General features: G+C 38.9%; 1 protein-coding gene across 6 annotated transcripts in view, besides 1 other annotated feature; it reads left to right on the plus strand.

The window, feature by feature from the left end:
* AHCYL2 (adenosylhomocysteinase like 2) overlaps positions 1-23406 on the plus strand; it is a 205182-nt gene that overhangs the window by 29282 nt on the left and 152494 nt on the right. The window contains exons 2-3 of one of the 6 annotated variants that reach the window (XM_047420088.1): positions 4270-4331; positions 19969-20115. The exons of the other annotated variants lie outside the window; for them this stretch is intronic. The gene's annotated coding sequence lies outside the window, so the exon portion shown is untranslated. The remainder of the gene's footprint in view (positions 1-4269; positions 4332-19968; positions 20116-23406) is intronic. 6 annotated transcript variants of the gene reach the window in all.
* Positions 17477-17771: an enhancer, noted in NCBI's record as "tiled region #5606; HepG2 Activating DNase unmatched - State 12:CtcfO, and K562 Activating DNase matched - State 12:CtcfO". NCBI's record gives its function as "activates a minimal TATA promoter and a strong SV40 promoter by Sharpr-MPRA in HepG2 and K562 cells {active_cell/tissue: HepG2 | K562}" and the evidence as "EXISTENCE:reporter gene assay evidence [ECO:0000049][PMID:27701403]".

Below are 23406 nucleotides of genomic sequence, written 5' to 3' on the forward strand. Positions count from 1 at the left end.
TAGCAAAATTACATTATTATCCTACAACAACATAATTTTACCTTTGTGTAACTGCTTATACCTTTCAAACCAGTAATATCCATTATCTTACTTGATACTGAAATAGTTTGAAATAAAGCAGGTGACTTCTTAGTACAACATGTTAATTTTAGAGAAACTAGCTAGTACTGTTTTTTCTAGAAACTCTGATTATATTATAAAGACAAAACCTAGATACTTTACATTGAATTATTTTGTACTTGATTGGTACATTGTTAATATTTTTCAAAGAAATAGCAATTTTGTTGAACTAGAGCCAGGTCTCAATTTTCTCTCTGGCTTTCTTTGTGGCACCATACTCCTGTAAAACCATCAATGCTCATTAAGCTGTGGATCACTTTGGCTTTTCTTAACCTGGCTAAAGCAGTGTTATCCACAAGTTTCATTTCAGAGAAGATAGAACTTTGTAAATAACCTGAAGGCACCTTTATAGCTACCTTTCTATTGTCTCTGAGGGTAGGTCACAGGCTGTGATGGGGAAGAAGAAAAGCGTTCTGAGGTTTGAGAAAAAGTGGTGAGAATTTGAATAGTTTTTTGTGGAGTGTGAGCAACTGAATTAATCAGAAATGTGGTAGGATTTCTGAATTAATTAGAAAGTAAAGAATTAAATTTTCTAATAGTAGCTACATTAAAAGTAAAAAGGGCCGGGCGTGGTGGCTCCCAGCACTTTGGGAGGCCAAGGCGGGAGGATCATGAAGTCAGGAGTTCGAGACTAGCCTTACCAACATGGTGAACCCCCGTCTCTACTAAAAATACAAAAATTAGCCGGGCATGGTGGCACGTGCCTATAATACCAGCTACTCGGGAGGCTGAGGCAGGAGAATCGCTTGAACCTGGGAGGTGGAGGTTGCAGTGAGCCGAGATCGCGCCATTGCACTCCAGCCTGGGTGGCAGAGCGAGAGTCTGTCTCAAAAAAAGAAAAAAAAGTAAAAAGAAACAAGTGAAATTGATTTTAATATCTTATACTTAACCCAGTAAATTAAAAAGTTATTATTTTAACATATCAATATAAAAATTAAGATATCTTTTTAATTTTGTACTTGAGTCTTTGAAATCTGGTGTATATTGTGTGTTGACAGTATATCTGAATTTGACTAGCCACATTTCAAGAGTTCAACAGTCATATGTGGTTAGTAACTATCTATTGGACAGTGTGGGTCGAAAGTAATTAAAAATAAATTTTGAACTGCATAGACACGTCATCTATTTACATGAATGTGTGTGTGTGTGTATGTGCGTGTGTGCGTGCGCACGCGCATGTTTAGCAATTCTTAGGGTTAAGACAATTCATTTGATAGGCCTGGGTTGATGAACTCAACGGAAGTTGATGTGAATAAAAATGAAAATGAGGGCTTGGCGCGGTGGTCCACGCCTGTAATCCCAGCACTTTGGGAGGCCGAGGTTGGGAGTTCAAGACCAGCCTGCCAACATGGTGAAACCCTGTCTCTACTAAAAAAAATACAAAAATTAGCTGGGCCTCGTGGGAGGCACCTGTAATCCCAGCTACTTGGGAGGCTGAAGCAGAATTGCTTGGGCCTGGAAAGCGGAGGTTGCAATGAGCTGAGATTGCACCATTACACTCCAGCTTGGGTGACAGAGCAAGACTGTGTCTCAAAAAACAAAAAAAAAAAGAAAGTGAGATTGAGTTCAAAGGGAAGTCATTGCAAGGAGGCAGTGCCAGTACTAAACTTAATACCTCCGTCCTGTGTAGACACATCCACTTTGTTGAATGGAAAGCTGGCCTCTTACTACCCTTCAACTACTTTATTTTTTCTGATGACTTGTAATAAATACCGTCTACCTGGAAGTCAGTGTGTTACAATTAGAATGTGAGGATTAGAAGAAACTAATATAGGTAGGACTAGGAAAAAATAATAGGTTAGAGTGATAAAGTAAAAATTTTAAGAATACATGCAATAGTATAAAAATCAAAAGATATAAAAAGATTATGTATCAAATATAAAGCTCTTATCCTCTAGCCATCTGATTCCCTTCCTTGAGAGTAACTAGAATAGTTTCTTATGTCTTATTTATCTTTTAGGAGTAGCCTATGCATTTACAAGTGTATACATACTTTTTTGTCTTTCCTTGAATAAACCAATAAAATACTTATATCCTTTTGAAAATATACAAAAGGTAGCAGCATACAATACACACCATTTACCATTTTACATCTTGCTTCCCGCCCCCCACCCCCCACCCCCCCCCCGCCTTAATCTATCTTGTAGCTGCTTTGTTGTTTTTAAAGTCTATATAATATTTCATTGTATGGATGTACCATAATTTATGTAACCAGTTTTTTATTGTTGGTTATTTAAATTGTTTTCAATATTTTGCCCTTACAATCAATACTGTAATGAATATCTTTGGGTATATCTGTTGAACACCTATGTGAATTATGTGGAATAAATTCTCATAAGTAGAATTTCTTGTTCAAAAGGTTTTTTTTTTAATTGTATAAATATTGCCAAATGCAATAGAGGTTTTTACCAGTTAACACTTCCAACTAATAATGTGTGAATAAACTTTTTCTTAAATAAAACTGATTCTACAAACCGAGTCTTAGGAGAAAATAAAATTTATAAATAATAAAATTTTTATTGTGCTGTTGAATTGAAGAGGCATAGATAACCCCCTTTTGTCTTGACATGATCCTTTTGAGCAACCTCAGAGGAGCCCCTAGAGTTGCAGAGGCATAGACTGAAAACACCGATAACCAGCTCCCTTTATTTTATCTATGAAGAAGAGAGCTCTGAAGGGATGAAGCTGTTCCTCCAAGACCACCCAAAAAACAGAAAAACATGAACTATAGAACCCTCAGATAGGAATAGGAATGGCTTGGAAATGTATGCAGAAGTGTTTTGTGTAACAGGTAAACCCCAATTAATTACTTTTTGAGAATCAAACCTTTTTAAAATAACATTTGCTGTTTGATTTTGTTTTAGTAAGCTTCATGGTTAGTGGAGCCTTGGCAGCCTAAGGGATCCTTGGAGTGGAAAAGGGAACTTGGTGGTCAGAGACAAGGGAGGAAGTCCTACCTTCATATTTCTGACATGGTGACAACTGATATGAAGAGCAAAAGGGGCAAAGACTAGCAGAAGAGAATGAGGGGTGGAGGGGCAAAAGGGTCTCAAGTACCTACCCAGTGCCTGGTGCATGGTGGCTGCTCAGTAATGGTAGTTCCTTACTGGTGGAAGTATGGACTGGTCTGACCATTTTGAAGGATGGTACTTAATCAGATTATGCATTATGTATACCTTGTAACCCAGCAACTTTTTTCCTGTATATATACGTGAAAGAAGTTCTCACACAGGTTCATAAGGGGTCATTCATTTCAGTGTATTTGTTCTTGTGGAAAGTAATTTGTTGTCCATACCCTTTCCCCAGTGATGGGTAAAATGTGATCATAGATTTATACCTCAGTTTGAAGTAATGGTCTAGATGTGCACATGGCAGCCTAAGGATCTTAGAGACATAGTGCTGAGTAACAACAGAAAGAAAAGGAATGAGATATGTAACACAATAGCATTTATATACATTTTAAAATGTATGTAAGTAAAACATTACATACTTTACAAGAAAACATGTTAACACATTAAACACATTATAGTGATTGCCTGTGTTGTGGATGATAGGAGTGGAATAAAAGAATAAGCAAATAAGAGTAAAAATACACAAATGTAAAACTTCATTTCTGTATGGAGGTGATCTTTAAAGCATCTGTTGGATAATTAGGAGGACACCTACAGATCAGTACCCCTGTGTCTCCCATTCTCCCATTGTGGTTACCTTTGGGAGTAAAATTTCTGGTAACGAATTACCATTGGAATATTTTTTGTTGTTAATTTAACTGAAAGTAAATCAGATTCACAGTTCTCAATTTTTTTTTTTTTTTGCCTTTAAAAGGAAAAAAAAAAAGAATCCCCCATCCTTCACTTTTTCTGTTACTGTGTATTCTGTTGGATTGTTGCTTAAATACAAAATACTAACCTTATGCCTAATTTAGGTACTACGTGTATACCAGGACTACATGATATCCTTCTTAGAAGATAATACTTAGTGACATTAATAATTCATTGGGAGACTTCTCCATGTTCTTTTAGATAATTGCCTTTTCTGATTAAAGCTTGGAATGCCAATAGTTGGAATAAAGCAGTCACTTCTTTGATCTGTTACCCATTATAAAATTTATGTTATTTATCTTGCTTTTTTTTTTTTTTTTTTTACAAGAATCTCTGCTTATAGCAGATAAAAATACTGACTGACTTCCAGAGAGTTCCCTGAGATACCAGGTAAGATCTTGGATAGAATGGAGTGTAGGAAACAAACAGTTCCTATCGTAAGCAATTTTTGTTGCTAGAACAAAATCCTTTTGTAGGTCATGAACTTTTGAGTAGCCTGAGTTTTGAGTTAGCCTCAATTAAGGTTTTTGGTTGTTTTACCACCCAGGCTCCAGATTAGCAACTGGAGACAGGAGCTGTGATGGAATTAAAGTAACCGTGGCAACCATTATAATGTAAATGAGCCTTCTTGGGCAGGAAGTTGAGAGCGTGAGCACTTGTTAGGGCATTCCTTTATTACATCTACAACTAGAGCTGAGTAGCATTTTGCTATTTTAAAATCCTGCTCCTTGGACACCATCAAGTCCTGTGTTATTCCAACCTTCTTTTAGTTTTCTGAGAAACTAACACCAAACTAATATGTATATAAAATAGGAAATGAATCTCTGGTGTGCCTCCTTCATTCACATTAAGACCTCTTCTTCCTTTAATAACATTACCTTTTTCCCACTGCTTCTGGCAATAACACTCAGCACCAAGTCTCTGATAAACAAAGAAGGCCACTTAGGTTTTGAGAGATGTGGTGTGTACCTAGTATACTCTGATGGCCAAGATTTGGCTTATGGTGGAACAAGTGGTGCCAGGGCCCCTTCTTAAGCAGCACAGGAGCGACAAATCTTTGGTCTCAAATCTTAATTTTTTATATTAGTCTTTAAAATTTTAAATTATTTTAAAATTTTTTTCAATAAGTCTTTTGTACTCCTAACCTTTGAATTTCAAGTCATAAGATTGTAAGTTTTAGAGTATTAATGTAGGCTTACTCTTTGTGGATTTAGAGATTAGATGACTGGAGGAGAATAATAAAAGTGAAACTGAAGTAATTACCAAATGAGGTTGAGTTCTAAGTTAAGTACTGTACTTGTTTACTACCCCACAATGAGTCCAGTGATTTTAACAACAAGGCTTGTAAGCGAGAAGCTTAAGGTTCCTATTCAAGGTTAACTATTGTTATGATGTTGGTGCTAGGAAAATAACTTCCCTCAACCTCAGTTTTTCTCTTTGTAAAGGAAGAGTGAAAACGACGACTCACTCTGTTGTGGGGAAATACTTACAAAAGGAAATAAAATTTAACTAGTAGTATGGTCAAGAATGTCAGCTGAGGTTGGCCAGGCGAGGTAGCTCACATCTGTAATTCCAGTGCTTTGGGAGGTTGAAGCAGGCAGATCATCTGAGGTCAGGAGTTCGAGACCAGCCTGGCCAACATGGTGAAACCCTGTCTTTGCTAAAAATACAAAACTAGCTGGGCATGGTGGCATGTGCCTGTAATCCCAGCTACTTGGGAGACTGAGGCAGGAGAATCGCTTGAACCCAGGAGGCGAAGGTTGCAGTGAGCCGAGATCATGCCTTTGCCCTCCAGCCTGGGCAACGTGAGTGAAACTCCATCTCAAAAAAAAAAAAAAAAAGCTGATATAAGACAAATTCTGATTTTTAAGGTAATGTGCCTTAGTTATGCCTGCTTAGCTTGTGCCAGTTAAGGCTTTTTACTTTGATTTTAAGTTTCCTTCCTCCTACTTCATCCTTTTGTTGAGTTGTCATTCAGATCACAACAGATACTCTTGTATAACTGTCTTTGTTGGCTTAGTCTTCAACAGGTGGATTGATCTTGGACTTCAAATATTTGAGCATTTACTATATGCAAAGCTTGGAACTGGGTGCATAGGGAATAAATATAAAATGTATACAAGTGTGATTCCTGCCCTTCAATATACAATCATTCAAATACTTGTAGACAGTTCTGCTCTTACTTTTCCTACCCCAGATAGTCTCTTCTCCATGGAAATCATTCCTGCTTCTCTTAATCATTCTTCATATGATGTAGTCGGCCAGGCCATTACTACCATCCTGGCTATCAGCATCACTTGTAAGAGGTCATGTTTCAAATTATAATTCTCAGGGTGTTGCTTGACCTGTTTCATATTTCAAATTATAATTCTCAGGGTGTTGCTTGACCTGTTTCAATTTTCTTCCTTGTTCAGGTCACTGTACTGTTATTTTATTACCTATGAATTTGTATTAACTTTTAAGCTGTCAATTCAGTACAAAGGCCCACCTTGAGCTTACAGTCAACTGAACTCTCATCAACACATGTTAAAATTGGTTTCAATTTTTTTTTTTTGAGACGGAGTCTTGCCCTGTCACCCAGGCTGGAGTGCAGTGGCACGATCTCTGCTCACTGCAACCTCCGCCTCCTGGGTTCAAGTGATTCTCCTGCCTCAGCCTCCCGAGTAGCTGGGATTACAGGCGTACGCCACCACCCTCGGCTAATTTTTTGTATCTTTAGTAGAGACAGTGTTTCACCATGTTGGGCAGGCTGGTCTCGAACTCCTGACCTTAAGTGATCTGCCCATCTCGGCCTCCCAAAGTGCTGGGATTACAGGCGTGAGCCACCGTACCTGGCCTGAAATGGATTTCTTATTCGCTGTATACTTCTAAAAAATAAATGCATGTATATTTACCCTTGATAAATTTTATTTTGTATTTTCAGCACGTTGTTTCTATATGTTCAGATATTTGATCTTTTATAATCTTTAATGATATCTCTTATATCTTTAATGGTATTATTTAATCTTTATAGATAGGTTTAGATCACCAGAAAATTTATAAGCTACCATTTAAATCTTCACAATATTGATAAACATCTACTAAGATAAGGCCAAATAGAGAGTTCTGTGGCAACTGTTAGTTACTTCTTTCCAGATTTACATTAAACAATTGATTAATAATCTTAGAATCGTTGTTCAACCAATTGTAAATCTATCACTTAACTAGCATAAGAAAGTTAATCTTGATTTCAGCAATATGTATTGGACCTACTTTATGTTATTTCTCTGATCTCTTAGTCTAATACTTTTGTCAAAAGTAAAATGAGGTTAGCATGATTGTTTTTCTTGGTGAACCCCATTCTGACTCACTGTGTTCTCTGTACCCCTTCCCTACCCCACCGTAGGCTAACATAGGAAATCTTTGTTAAACCCTTAATCTATGATTTCAATAATCTAGTCTCTTTTTTTCCTTTGAAATTGAGAAAATTAAAATTGCACTTTATTGTTTCTAGTCTTCTAGCTTCTCTTCCATTTTTCATGAGAGATCATGGAGATCTTAGGCTGTAATTTATCTGGTTCTAGATATTTGCATTTACTAAAAGCTACTGGGTGCTCTTTTATTATCTTTTCTCCTATTTCAGGCTTCAGTTTCCTCTTAACCATTTGCATTCTCTTTTCAGTATGGAAAGTTACTCTGGATAAAGAAAATGCAAGCAAAATAAGAGTTGAATAGGTTTGATTTTCTGTATTATTTTTTAACATGGTAGAAGGGCCTGTCTCATATTTTTGCATATAACATCACTGAAAAAAGACTATATGTTTGCACTTTTCATAAGCTTATATTGATATTCTATTATGTGCCAGGCACTGCATTAGATTCTTGGGCTCCAAATATAAATAAGATATGGTCTCTGTTCTCAAGGAGGTCACAATATAATTGGAGAGATACGTATTTATATAAATATTTACTGTATAGCAAGAGCCGCTGGCCAGGATCAGAAAACATACTTTGAGGGTTAGAAAAATAAGACAGGGATTTATGCTGAATAAGGTGGCGAAATGTACATTTTCAATAAGCTATAGGAGGAGTCATGAATATTTATGAAAGGAGAAACATGTACATGCACAGTTGAGCTTCTTACCCCTTTATGGGTTGCATGTACAGAGAAAAGGCAGTATTAGCATGATCCAAGGGTGGAGTTTTTGAGCCTCTGGCCTCAAAAGGTGAAGCAGAGGACATGAAAAGCCTCACTGCGCATCCTCTGTAGACTGGCCAGAACCACTCCGTGGTTGGTGGTCTCCTATTAGGAAGGAATGCTGGTTGGTGGTTGTGAGGAAACCACAAGAGGGAGGGGCAATGTCAGGAGGTTGGTTTATATTAGCAGTGGAGCAAGTAAAAAGGCTGGTTTCTGTTTAACCCTTAGGAAAGAAGCCTAATGCTGGGCAGCAAGGGATGGGTATAATGAGGTGTGTCTGACCTTTCACTTGGTCATGGCTGGGAACTCAGATTTCAGGGCTTCTCTGGGGTCTCCTTGGCCAAGAGATGGTCACTTCAGTCAGTTGGGGGGCTTAGAATTTTATTTCTCAGGAGGAACAACATTCCTTTTTATGAAGAATAGCATATAATAAGCTGACATGAAAATGGAGGGTAAAGGCTACCTGATGTGTTTAGAAATCTTAAAATAATCCAGGATGGTTGGAATACGGAATAGGAGTCCCAAGAAATGAGGCTGGAGGTGGGACCATAAAAGAAAGGGCCTTATATTCTTTGCTAGAATTTGGACTCCAGGAGGCACAGGAGTATCACCGAAGGGTTTTAAGCTGGGGATGTGATCAAAACCAAGCCTGTCTAGTCAGTCCTTCCTTATGACATACTATATAATTAAGTTTAGTCTGTTATGTTGTGGTTACAAACAGTCCCCATATTTTAGTGGCTTACAATAACAAGGATTTATTTTTTGCTCATACTGCATGTCCATTGTGTAGCTTTGTTCCAAGACTTAGGCTAGATGCTCATATCTGAGACATTTTCTCTTGTATTAGAGATAAATAAGGCATGGTAGAACCACACCATTTCTCTGAAAGTTTCTGTTCAGAAGTGGGATGTGTCATTTCCTCTTACTTCCCAGCGTCATTGGCTAAAGCAAGTCATGTGGCCAAACTTGATATCAACTGGACCAGTTGTCTAATTCTCCACCAGGAAGGAGCAGTGATTTTTGAATAATAATGGCATCTATTTACATGTATCAAATTTTATTTCTTTGCTTTCCGGGATTACCTGGGAGCATCTGGTGACTGTGTTCCCAGTGACTTGAAGTAGCTTGAGGGAATAAAGCTAGTTGTAGGCAGAGAAACGAGAGACAAGAAAATGTCCTGGCAGCTTTAATTTGTTTCTCTTCTCCCTGAGGCTGTCCTGGTTCCTGAAATTTTCCTTTGTGTCTGTAAGCTAATAGGAGAGTGTCATGATCAGATGTGCATTTTAGCAAGATTACTTCAGATGCAATATGGAGAATGGGGAGAATGCATTCGAGTAAAAGCAGGAAGAACAGTTAGTGCCTTGTGTAGAAAGAATTTTTAGTAATCTGTTTCAGATATAGAAGGACAAACTAAGGGCCTGGCAATAGAAATGTGGGATTCTTTTAGAGTTACCTCTGAGTCCTGGCTATTGTGGGGAGAAATAAAAGAGAAGGAAGAGAGTTATGTCCAGGTAAGGCATTTGAGTAGATGGTGGTGCCATTCACCAACATAAGGGGTAAAACAGGTCAGAGGAGAAGATATTTTATTTTATTTTATTTTTTATTTTTTTGAGACGGAGTCATGCTCTGTCGCCTAGGCTGGAGTGCAGTGGCGCCATCTCGGCTCACTGCAAGCTCCACCTCCTGGCTTCACACCATTCTCCTGCTTCAGCCTCCTAAGTAGCTGGGACTACAGGCACCCGCCACCATGCCCGGCTAATTTTTTGTATTTTTAGTAGAGACGGGGTTTCACCTTGTTAGCCAGGATGGTCTCAATCTCCTGACCTCGTGATCCACCCGCCTCAGCCTCCCAAAGTGCGGGATTACAGGCGTGAGCCACTGCGCCCGGCCAGTAGAAGATATTTTAGACATTGAGTTTGAGGTGTCTGTGGAACATCTAAGTGGAGATGACTAGTAGGCAAATTGGATAAACCGGTATCGAGCTCACGGGATGTAAAGAGTGTTATTAAAATGATGGTTCATGGAATGTAAGGGTAAGAAATCATGGATAAGAAGGAAAGGAAGAAAGGAGATGACCGAGAGATTGAAGTAAAAGAATTAGTGAGCTAAAGTCTGTGAAATTATAGTAGAGAAAATTAAACAAGCAAGCTAAAAAGAAGTCAGAGAACAGGATACCCAAATTAGCCATTATGGAGATGGAACAGTTTCTAGTGGTGATAAGGTCTGGAGTAACCTTGGTTGTGCTTAGCTGAGTTAGAATGGAGCAGAACGTCATTGAAGATGACATCAAGGAACTCGAAGGCTAAGGTCTTTATGGGCCACCCACGTGGATTGTTGCTTGTTCAGTGTGACAGAGACTCCTAGTTGTTTACTCAGTATCCAGTTTCTACTTCTTCCTTACTAGCAGAACGCTAGGCAATATGCATTGGAAAAACTATACATAGAATTAAATTCAACTGCATATAACAGTAACCCCCAATAACAATGCCTTATATTGTATATGAGTTTATTTTTATTAAAAAATCAGCTTCGTTTCACATTTTTTACAGAATTTATGGTATTTATTAGATTCTAACTTGAGTAAGTTATATACATGATTTATTAAATCTGGTCAATTGTAATCCAGAATGTATGTACTGTGTTTTATTTATAAAGAAATATAGAGAGAAACATTTACAAGATTGGTGTGATGGCTCCTCCACAGGGATTAGAGACCCAGACTCCTGTCATTTTTCTCTCCATTGTTCTTAGTATGCTGCTTCCATCATTAGGGATGCTTTCATGGCTTAAGATGACTGCTGGAGCTCAGGGCATTATTTCAGCATTATATGAAGCAAGAAGGAGGAAGGGGAAAAAGGCAAAAAGGGCATCCCAGAAGCCCCACCCAACAACTTCCGCTTCCATTTCATCTGATAAACTCAGGTTGATGGTGGGATTTAGGATGACTAGAATCTGAGAGAGGAATTTGATAGGTGGCAGTAACTAGGGAAAGAGATGAGGGAGTTGAATGGCATGACCTTAAAGGGGCTGCTTTATTATAAGAGAGTGAAGTAGTATTCTGGCAGAGTGTGGCAAGTGCACAGGTTCTGAGGGGGTGTGTGTGGGTGAAGGAAGTTTATCAGACATTTTTCAGGAATTAGCAAGGAGGCACGTGCAGCTGGAGTAGAGTAAGTAAGGGGGAGAGTTGTGGAGATTAAGGCTGGCAGGTAATGAGCCAGTGTCATGTATGGTGTTAATAGGTCATATTCAGGATTATGCTTTAACTTTTGCTTTAAATGAGATAGAAAACCATTGGAAAGTTTTGAGCAAAGAATGACAGGATCATATTTAAGTTTTGAAAAGATCGCTCTGGCTGTAGGGTTGAGAATAGACTGAAGGGGTCAGGAGACCAGTTAGGAGGTTACTGCAATAACTAGAGAAGAGACGATAGTAGTTTGGAGCAGATAATAGCGGTGACGATGAGAGAAGTGGCCAGATTCTGCATATATAGTAGAGCAAAAAAGATATGCTAATGTATTTGATGAGTGTTTGAAAGAGAAAAGTTTTGGATGACTTCAAAGTCTTTGTCCAGAACAACTGTAAGTATAAAAACAATAGGGAGAAGTTGTCCAAAATGAGGATAATTGTATTGCTACAGTGACCTTCTGTAGGTGTAATCAGTGTCTTCCTGTTTTAGTATATTCCTGTTTCTTGTCTCCTTTTCTTTTTTCTCAGTGCACATTTAACTAGTTTTCAATACATTCGCTATTTTGCTCAGCCAACAAATGACTGTTAACAATTACAAAGTTGTTTCAGCCTTTATCGGTTAGGCTTCTTTGGTTGCAAAACAAACCAAAATTGACTTTGTTCAATTGACTTAAGCAAAAAAGGTAGTGGATGAGAAGGAGGGAGGGGAAAGGATAATAGAGGTAAGTCACAGAATAAGGAAATGCTAAAGAATTACACCTTGGGGCTGGGCGTGGTGGCTCACGCCTGTAATCCCAGTTACTCTGGAGGCTGAGTCAGGAGAATGGCTTGAACCCAGGAGGCAGAGAGGTTGCAGTGAGCCGAGATCTCACAATTGCACTCCATCCTGGGCAACAAGAGTGAAACTCCGTCCCCCGCCAAAAAAAAAAAATTACACCTTGGGAGAACCCTGAACTAAAGTATCTCACTGAGATCTAGATAGCATAATGGACATAATGGTTTTTATCAGGGTAACGTCTTCTGGACAAATCACTCATATAATTGAGTATCTAATTTAATAATGGTACTGAGCTAGATACTGAGGGCGGGGAATAGGAGGGGCAATCCAAAGCTGAATAAAATATATTACATACCTTTGGAGGATTATAATAGAGTAGAATTAATGAATCATGTCTATCACTTATTCAAATTAGAATGTAATAAATACCATAAATGCTACAAAAGATATTAAACAAAGATGATTAGATGATTTTGTATGACTAACCATAGCAATATTTTAACATTTTAGATACAAATAGATTTTAAAGGAAAGATAGACATAAGAAAATGTCAGATAAATTTTTTTTTTTTGCCCACTAAACGCAAAATATTTATGTTGTGGAGACATAGTAAATTATGATACATTCATAGAGCATAATACTAAGCAGCCATCAGAAATGATGTTGCACAAGTATGCCTAATGAGAAGGGGAAATGATCATTTTGTTTTAAGTGAAAACAAAAAAAGATTATGAAATCACACAAATAGAAAATCTGAAATTTAACATGAGTGGGGTGTGTGGTGTATGTATGAGAGAGAGTAGTACACCCTCCAAGTTATTGAGTTCACTCAAGGGGTGTGTGTGTGTGTGTGTGTGTGTGTGTGTGTGTGTGTGTACACCCTCCAACTTATTGAGTTCAATCAAGCCTTATTAGGTATTTTTTTTTGAGACAGAGTTTCACTCTTGTCGCCCAGGCTGGAGTGCAGTGGCGTGATCTCATCTCACTGCAAACTCCACCTCCCAGGTTCAAGCGAGTCTCCTGCCTCAGCCTCCCTAGTAGCTGGGATTGTAGGTGCCTGCCACCATGCCTGGCTAATTTTTGTATTTTTAGTAGAGACAGGGTTTCTCCATGTTGTCCAAGCTGGTCTCGAACTCCTGACCTCAAGTCATCTGCCCACCTTGGCCTCCAAAGGTGCTGGGATTAGAAGCATGAGCCACTGCGCCCCTCCCCAAGCCTTATTAGATTTGAATGTTAGCATCAATAGTATATTGAAGGTGGAGGTGAGGCTAGTATTGAAAGTGAAGAGAGAATAATCAGGCTATTGTAATTATCTAAGTAAGAGAGGATAAGGACCTGACCCTAAGATAGGAAGTAGAAAAGAGGGAATCTTGTGGGAGAGATGGTAAGATGATGGAATTGATAGAATTTGGTGACTGACTTCTGTATGTGTGTGGGAGTGGATGCTCTGTGTGATAACAGAGAGATGAGTTTCTAGTCTTATATGATTGGGTAAATGGTCATACTCCTATTTATTTAAAAGTACCTATAACATGGGAGTAGAAAGCTCTGAAAATGTGGCATATGATCTGTTTTAAGAAAAAAGAGGATGAGGGGAAATAGAGAGAGAGGAAAGTGAGGAATTTCTTTTGACGACTTTTTGGACAAACTTGCTATTTTAGTTCACTCCCTTTTTACTCCTAGTTCTACTAGGAGTAAACGTAGTAGTTTAAACTAGTAATTAGTAATTTAGTAAATTTAAACTAATAATTTCCAAGTCAGAATTTTAACAGTCATGACTGATTTTTAAGCCTCTATGTTATCTTGAGGATCTTGTTTTTACCAGCTATACCTTAAAGAAGCTCAGCTTTGAAAGGGCTTTGTGACATAACCAGGTTTTGGAAAGATCAAGGTATGAAAATGCTGTAACTTTGAAGGCAGCATTAGGGAGTTTGCTTGTGCTTTCTTTTTTTGTTTTTGTTTTTGTTTTTTGAGACGGAGTCTTACTCTGTTGCCCAGGCTGGAGTGCAGTGGCATGATCTCAGCTCACCACAACCTCCATCTCCCGGATTCAAGTGATTCTCCTGCCTCAGCCTCCTGAGTAGCTGGGACTACAGGCACGGGCCACCATACCCGGCTAATTTTTGTATTTTTATAGTAGAGATGAGGTTTCACTATGTAGGCCAGGCCAGTCTAAGGCCAGATCCTGACCTTAGGATCCACCCGCTTCGGCCTCCCAAAGTGTTGGGATTATAGGCGTGAGCCACTGCACCTGGCCGCTTGTGCTTTCTTGGGAACGACATTAATGCTGTGGTTGAATCTTTCCTTTGTTTAAACAAACCAAAAGTAAGATTTGAAGGCTGCCTGGTGGGCTGAATTTCTCTTTTGGTAGAATGTTTTAGCTTTTTGAAAATAAGTAGACCTCTTTACTTTTTAAAAGTAACTTTATTGAGATATAATTTCATACTGCGAAGTTCACTCATTTAAAGCATACAATTCAGTGAGTGATTTTTTTTCATATTTACAGAGTGTATAACCATTACTGTAATTTAATTTTGGAACATTTTCATCATCCCAGAAAGAAACCTTGTAGTAATCATTCCCTAGGCAACCACGAATCTATTTTCTGTCTCTGGACGTTTCATATAATTTGCCTATTCTGGACATTTCATATAAATGGGATCATAACCATATGTGTAGACCTTTTGGCTTTCAAAGTTTCTTTTTTTTCTTTTCTTTTTTTCCTAAATGATTCCTGTTTTTTTTTTTTTTTCACTTACTCTGTTGCCCAGTCTGAAGTGTGGTGTGGCACGATGATGGCCCAGTGCAGCCTCAACCTCCCAGGCTCAAGCCATCCTCCCACATCAGCCTACTGAGTCCTACTGGGACCACCATGGTGTGCACCACCATGCCTAATTTTTTTTTTTTTTGAGACAGAGTCTTGCTCTATTGGCCAGGTTGGAGTGCAGTGGCACAATTTCAGCTCACTGCAACCTCCGCCTCCTGGGTTCAGGTGATTCTCCTGCCTCACCCTCCTGGGTAGCTGGGATTACAGGCACGCATTACCATGCCTGGCTAATTTTTTTTTTATTTTGAGTAGAGATGGGGTTTCACCATGCTAACCAGGCTGGTCTTGAACTCCTGAGCTCGTGATTCACCCACCTCAACCTCTCAAAGTGTTGGGATTATAGGCGGGAGCCACTGTGCCGGTTTTGTTTTGTTTTGTTTTGTTTTGTTTTTTAATAGAGATGGGGGTCTCACTATGTTGCCTAGGCTTGTCTTGAACTCCTCGGCTCAAGCAGCCCTCCTGCCTAAGCCTCTCAAAGTGTAGCCACCATATCCGGCCCTAAATGAGTTCTTTTTGTATTCCGTAATTTTTAGAGTTCACCTTAAATTTTACAGTGTCTATAGATTGATAAATTTGCTTGATACTTAATTCATGCTTATATCCTTATCACTAAATGCATAATATATGTCAAATAAATTATTTGTAATGGATTTTTTATGGACATTAAAATATATTCTTTATTGATATTGTTCCAGTGTCTGACTTTCATTTATAATTTCATATTACCATTTTTGCTCCTATCTACTACTCACTTTCTAGCTAAAGTGTTTATACTTACAGTGATGGAAAGTTTTTGACTTGGGCCTTCCTTATTCCTGCGTATTATTTAATTTTACAGTGTTTGGTAGAAGCAAGGTCAAAAGTTTACTGAAAAGAAAATGAAGCCCATTAGGAGACTATTAGGTATATCTTAATATTTCCTTTCTCAGTTCCTTTAGATCCTTCCTCATTGTATTATCTGGGTCACACTGGTTGAGGGATTCTACCTTCCTAATGTAACGTCAGTTGTGTTTAGAACTGCCTTGACATACGTACCTGCTTGATTGGCGTCCTCTTCTATTAGTCACCAGAGTACAGAGATACTCAGTTCCAATGATAAAAATAGTATACATTCCCTTTAGTTAGAATCTTCTTAGTGCAAATAACCTTGGACCTATGGGTCCTGTCCATGATAAAAGGCAGAACATTTTTCACTTTTTTCTTTGAGTTTCTCTTCCTGTGACTTCCCCCTCCTTGTTATATGTTTTACATTTGACAAAGGGGGAAAGAACACTCAAGATTCCTAGTCATATGCCAGATAAATATATAATAGACATTATTTTAAATCTATAGCTGAGCTTGTGAAAAAGTAAGGAAAATCCTTAGGGGCAAAAAAATGATGAGGGCATTGAAAATCAGTGTTAAGTACATAAGCTAAAGTTACGGCTGCTCTGGATGACTAAGAGACTTAGTTTTAACAACCACATGGGAATAAGAGACTTTTTTACTCCCTTGCAGAAAGCTAAGTTCCTCAAAGGGTTTCCACATTATTGAAAAGATGATCTAGAAAAAACATTTGCCCCATGGCATAGAGAAATGTCAAGGAAGTTTGTCCACTCCGTGTGGGCTTTAGGTGAGAAAGGTTTCTCTGAGAATTTGTTACCTGGGGTTGTCTTCACATAGGTTCAGTTTAGAATGTTCCTCTTTTTCTGCAGTCCAGGAAACCCAAAGCCAAGAAATTAACATATAAAGTAGTCTTGAATCTGCAACAGTCCTACGGCATCAGGCTGAAGCAAGTGCAAAACTTCTCTATAGGGATATCCTCAATCTAGGCCACACCAAATCTCACAGCTAAAGGTGCTCTAAAAAAAAAAAGTTTGGGCCGGGCGTGGTGGCTCATGCCTGTAATCCCAGCACTTTGGGAGGCCGAGGCGGGCGGATCACGAGGTCAGGAGATGAGACCATCCTGGCTAACACGGTGAAATCCCGTTTCTACTAAAAATACAAAAAATTAGCTGGGCGTGGTGGCAGGCGCCTGTAGTCCCAGCTATTCGGGAGGCTAAGGCAGAAGAATGGCGTGAACCCGAGAGGTGGAGCTTGCAGTGAGCCGAGATGGTGCCACTGCAATCCAGCCTGGGCAACAGAACGAGACTGTCTCCAAAAAAAAAAAAAAAAAAAAGAGTTTTAAAATAGACCTTCAAAAAATATAGTCACTGAAACTTAAAATTTGGTGGACAATATCAATGGTAGAATGGATACATTATGGTATATTCATAGAACAGAATACTATTAAGCAATGGAAATGAATAAATTGCTGCTATGCATAAGATCATGGCTGAATAACAATAATGTTGAAGGAAGGAAGCCAGATGTAAAATAATATATACTATGTTATTTTATTTATATAAAGCTAAAAACCCGGGTGCGGGTAACATTGGATTTTTGTCCTGGGTGATAGTTACATGGCTGTTTCACTCTGTTATAATTCATTGAATTTATAATTTGTATACTTCCTCCATTTAATAGAAAGCAGATAAGGAAAATGTAATAAATGTCATAGAAAAGATAGGATAAATAGAAAGCATAATAAAAGATGGTAGAGATAAATCCAAATGCATCAGTAATCATACTGAACATAAATGAATTACACTTATTGAAACAAAGACAGATTGTTGTAGCATGTTTTCAAGATGGCTGATGTTAGTTCCTTCCCTCCACATGTGCACCACCCCCATCTAGTGGTGGAGTTTATTCCTCTGTTCATACCAAATCTGGGCTGGCCTTAGTGACTTGTTTGGTGAAATGTGGCAGAGATAACATTCTGGGACTTTCAAGGCCAGGTCATGAAAAGTTTTGCAGCTTCCATCTAGGCCTATTTGAACATTCTCTTTTGGATTGCTGTGCTATGGAACATTTAGTCTTGGAACCTAGCTGCCATGCTGTGAGGAGTCCAAGCCAGATGGAGAGGCTCAGCTGAGCTCCTAGCCAACAGCTAGCATCACTTTTCAGCTACGTGAGTTCCAGTTCCAGTGGGCATCATATGGAGAAAAGCCCAGGCCCTAGGCGTATGGCTCCCAGTCTAGTTATCCTCAATCAATGGAGCCACCTTACCTGAGGCCCCAGATGTTATAGAGCAGACACGAGCTGTTCCTGCTATACTCTGTCTGAATCAGAATTGTGAGTATAATAAAATGGTTGTAGTTTTATGCCACTAAGCTTTAGGGTAGTTTGTAGTGATAGATAACTGAAACCAAATTTGGTACCTTGAAATAAGGTGCTGCCAAAACCTACAATTTGCATTGGCTTTGGAATTTGGTGAGGGTTAAAGATGGAGGGACCTTGAGAAGACAGTGAAGGCTTGAAACACAGAGAGAAAAGTGTTATTGGAGGCTGGGAAAAGAGTGAACCTTTGTTATATAGTGATTCAAGGTTTATTGGTACTGCCACATGTGGTTACATAGACCATAGAAAATGTATCTAATGACTTCAGTGTATCTAAGGAGATTTCTAGGCAGAATGTTGAAAAAATGTTACCTAGTTTTTTCTAAGTATGATAAGGTACAAATTGATAAATGAACTAAAAAATGAACTACTAAGTTTTAAAACAGAACTTAGAGGAAATATTTCTAACCCAGGAATGGTTGTGTTATTATAGAAAATAAAACTTTTTCTCATCTCTAGTTGCTTCAAATGGCCAATGACTTTTATTTTATTATTATTATTATTATTTTGAGATAGTTTTTCTGTCACTTAGGCTGGAGTGCAGTGGTGCTCACTGCAACCTCTGCCTCCCGGGATCAAGTGATTCTCCTGCCTCAACCTCCTGAGTAGCTGGGATTACAGGTGCCCGCCATGATGCCCAGCTGTTTTTTTGTATTTTTGGTAGAGACAGGGTTTCACCATATCAGCCAGGCTGGTCTCAAACTCCTGAGCTCAAGTGATCCATCCGCCTTAGCCTCCCAAAGTGCTGGGATTATAGGCATGAGCCACTGCGCCTAGCCTGACCAATGACTTCTAAATAAATGGCTTCAGAGGAAAGATAAAATTCAAGATGCTACCAATAAAATATGGCCTCAAAGTAAAGATCTCAGTGATGCAACTGTAAATCCCTTTGCTAAGACTTTTTTTTTTTTTTTTTTTTTTTTGAGACGGAGTTTCGCTCTTGTTGCCCAGGCTGGAGTGCAATGGCATGATCTTGGCTCACCGCAACCTCTGCCTCCCTGGTTCAAGCAATTCTCCTGCCTCAACCTCCCTAGTATCTGGGATTACAGGCATGCATCACCACGCCTGGCTAATTTTGTATTTTTAGTAGAGACGAGGTTTCTCCATGATGGTCAGGCTCGTCTCGAACTCCCGACCTCAGGTGATCCGCCCACCTCGGCCTCCCAAAGTGCTGGGATTATAGGCATGAGCCACTGCGCCTGGCCGACTTCAGAAAGATTTAAGACAATGCCTCACAAAACCTTTCAATTAGATAAAGGGATATCTAGAGGTCTTAAGGGAATACTTCTTAGGCTTACTATGTTAAACAATAGGGCTTCTAGGGATCTTAAGTGTGTTTTCTCACAGTAGCCTCACATAAGACTTGCGATAGAAAAGGTGGATGTGGCTTTTGTCTGCTGGAGTGAATCCCAATAAGATTCATAGGAAATCCACAAGATTTTAAAGAAATCATAATAATAAAAGAGGAACAGAGACAGTAGAAAGTGAAAATAGGCCTTTAGATTTCCAATCATCTATAGGCAGGAAACAAGCTTATAAGGCCACTCCATTGCAAAAATTAACCCATCTCTTATGTAAAAAGAAGGTTAATTCAGAAACTTAGAGGGTGGAGCCAAGGGTTGTGGAGAGTCATTCTCAAGGTGTAGGACTTGGCTGTAATAGAGGAACTGGTGATATGTGTCTGATTAGATTTCAGAATTGTTATGGGCCAGTAACTGTTATGTGTCTCCTGTTCCTTCTCCCTTTTTCCTCACATTTTGAATGAGAGTGTCTATTGTGCTTATCTTAAGTCAGTCTCACTATTGTATGTTTGTATGTTGGGTGTGTGGGAGCAGATAATTTGTTTCTTTAATTCAGATCAGGAGGAACTATACTGCAGTAGCTGTACCTGAGGAACTGCATCTGAGGAGCCTCAACCACATCTGGACCTGATTTAGATATCGAGATTCTGGACATCAAGCTGATGCCATAATGAAATGAGACTTTTGAAGGTCTTAGAAGAGGGTGAGTGTATTTTGCATGTGGGAGGGCCTTGTTGGGGCCAGAGGGTGGTCTGTGGTAGCTTGTATCCAAAGTGGCCGCCACCAATTTCTTCCCTTCTTGCTATTCAGTGGTGGAGTCTATTTCCCTTGTCCCCTTGAATCTGGGCTGGCTTTAGTGACTTGCTTAACCAATAGACTGTAACTTTCTGGGACTTCAGAGGCTAGGTCATGAAAAGCCTTGTGTCTTCTGCCTGTGCCCGTTGGAATCCTCTCTCTTGGACTGCTTGCACATAGAACCCGGTCACCATGCTGTGAGAATCCCCAGCCAGATGGAGAGGACACATGTAGGCACTGGTTGATAGCCCCATTGAGCTACCAGCAAAGAGCCAGTATCAACTGTCAGCCTTAGGAGTGAGTGAAGGAACCATGTTGAATAATCCAGCCCTAGCAGACACCATCTGGAGAAGAGCCAAGGTTTCAGACTTATGGCACATGTTAAGACATCTCAGCCATCTTCATCCTTTCAGGGCATCCCACCTGAGTTTCCCAGACATCGTCAATCAGAGACAAGCGGTCTCTGCTGTGCCCTGCCAGAATTTGTGGCCCACAGAATCATGAGAATAATAAAATGATTATTGTTTAACACTACTAAGATTTAGAATAGTTTTTAAATTTAGCCGTAGATAACTGGAACATGGCCAGGCGCAGTGGCTCACACCTCTAATTCCAGAACTTTGGGAGGCTGAGGCGGGTGGGTCACCTGAGGTCAGGAGTTTGAGACCAGCCTGGCCAACATATTGAAACCCAATCTCTACTAAAAATACAAAAATTAGCCAGGCATGGTGGTGTGCACCTGTAATGGTTGCAGGCGCCTGTAATCCCAGCCACTCAGGAGGCTGAGGCAGGAGAATCTCATGAACCCGGGAGGCAGAGGTTGCAGTGAGCTGAGATTGTGCCACTGCACTCCAGCCTGGGTGACACAGCAAGACCTTGTCTCCAAAAAATAAAAAAATAAAAAAATAACTGGAACATTGCCAAACTGAATAGAAAATAATCCAAGTCTATGCAGTTTGTAAGAAATACACCTAAGACATAAGGAATGAGAGAGACTGGAAATAAAGATATGGAAAAATCTATTCCAAAAGAAAGCTGGCATAGCAGGTTAATAGTAGCCAAAACTGATTTGAAGGCAAAAATCATTATTTGCGTTAAAAATTATCAGAAAAAAATTGTAAAGGAAGAATTAAGCAAGAAGCTATAATTCCAAATCAGTATGCATCTTATAGCATGGCCTTAAAATAGATAGATAGAATACAAAATATGTAGATAGAATATAGGAAGAAAATATATAGATACAAATATGAATAAATTTATAAATCTATAAAATGGAAAAATTTAACATGTCTTTTTGAGTAATTGATGGTCAAACAGACAAAAACAACTTGAGAAGATAACAGAAGATTTGAACAACCAACCAACAGGCTTCATTTTTTGGATATGTACCAAGCCCCACGCTTAATAGATGAGAATATACATTCTTTTTAGGGAGTTTTAAAAAAATTGAACACACACTGAATTCATAAATCAAGTCTCAACAAAACCAATGAATGGATATTATGCAAACTATTCTCGTACTCAATTCAGTTAAGACTGAAATTGAGCAAAAAGATAACCAAAATAATTTTATATATTTGGAAATTTAAAAGCATACTTCTAAGTAACTCATAGATCAAAGAAAAAATAATAATGGAAATTATAAGTAAAGCCGAATGATAATATAAATACTGTGTATCAGAATTATGGGTTACAACTAAAGCAGCATTTAGAGGGAAATTTATATCATCACAAAGAAGATGAGGGTAAGAAAAACTAATTAAGAACATTAAAAAAGCCAAAGGGAAATTTACAGCCTTACATGCTTATATTAGAAAAAAAACAGAGTTCATTATTTATTAGTCTTAGTATTTGACTGAGAAGTTATTTTTAAAAAGAAATGAATAAAAACCAAGGAAAGTAGAAGGGAAGAATAAAAAAAAAAACCAGAACTGAATGAAATTGAAAACAGGCTGGGCACAGTGGCTCATGCCTATAATCCCAGCACTTTGGGAGGCTGAGGCAGGTGGATCACTTGAGGTCAGGAGTTCAAGACCAGCCTGGCCAACATGGTGAAATTCCGTCTCTACTAAAAGTATAAAAATGCTGTGCATGGTGGTGGGCACCTGTAATCCCAGCTACTTGGGAGGCTGAGGCATGAGAATTGCTTAAACCTGGAAGGCAGAGGTTGCAGTAAGTTGAGATCATGCCACTGCACTCCAGCCTGGGCAACTGTCTCAAAAAAAAAAAAAAAGAAAAAAACCACAAAGATATAAAAGAATTAACAGCAACAAAAGTTGGTTTTCTAAAAAAAAAGATTAAAATAAGACAAAGCCCTGCAAAGATTAATCAGCAAGACAGAGTGAAGATACAGATACCACTAAGATTGAACAAGAAGACATATCTACAAATACAGCATAGATTATGAAATAACAAATGTATTATTAACAAATCTATGGTGCTAAATTGTACAGCTTAGATAAAAAGAACAGCGTTGTGAAAAATATATATAACTTACCAAAATTGACTCAAGGAGGAATACAAACCTGAAGAGACCTATAATCATTAAATATTTTGAATTAATAAGTAAAATACTACCTAATTGAAAAGAGGCACAGATGCAATTTTTACAATAGTTTTATAAAGGGGTATAATTGACAAACAAAAAACTGCAGATATTTAAAGGTTACAACTTGGAAAGTTTTGACACATGTCTAAAACCATGAAACTATTGTTACAATGAAGATAAAGAACATATTTATTACCTCTAAAGTCTCTCTCTTTTTTTTTTTTTTTTTTGAGATAGAGTCTTGCTCTGTCGCCCAGGCTAGATGGAGTGGTGCCACCTTAGCTCACTGCAACCTCCGCCTCCTGGGTTCAAGCAATTCTCCTGCCTCAGCCTCCTGAGTAGCTGGAATTACAGGTGCGCACCACCACACCCAGCTAATTTTTTTGTATTTTTAGTGGAGACAGGGTTTTGCCATGTTGCCCAGGCTGGTCTCGAACTCCTGGGCTCAGGCAATCCACCTGCCTCGGCCTCCCAAAGTGCTAGGATTACAGGCGTGAGCCACTGCGCCTGGCCTCTCCTGTCTCTACCACCCAGTTTCATCCCTAGGCAATCACTGATCTGCTTCATATAATAATAGAGTCTGCATTTTCTAGGCTTTTAAGTGGAATCAAGTAGTATGTACTCTTTGGGGAGAGGGGAGTGGGGTAATTC

The sequence above is a fragment of the Homo sapiens genome, chromosome 7 (genome assembly GCF_000001405.40).
Source record: "Homo sapiens chromosome 7, GRCh38.p14 Primary Assembly".
Taxonomy (NCBI): Eukaryota; Metazoa; Chordata; class Mammalia; order Primates; family Hominidae; genus Homo; species Homo sapiens.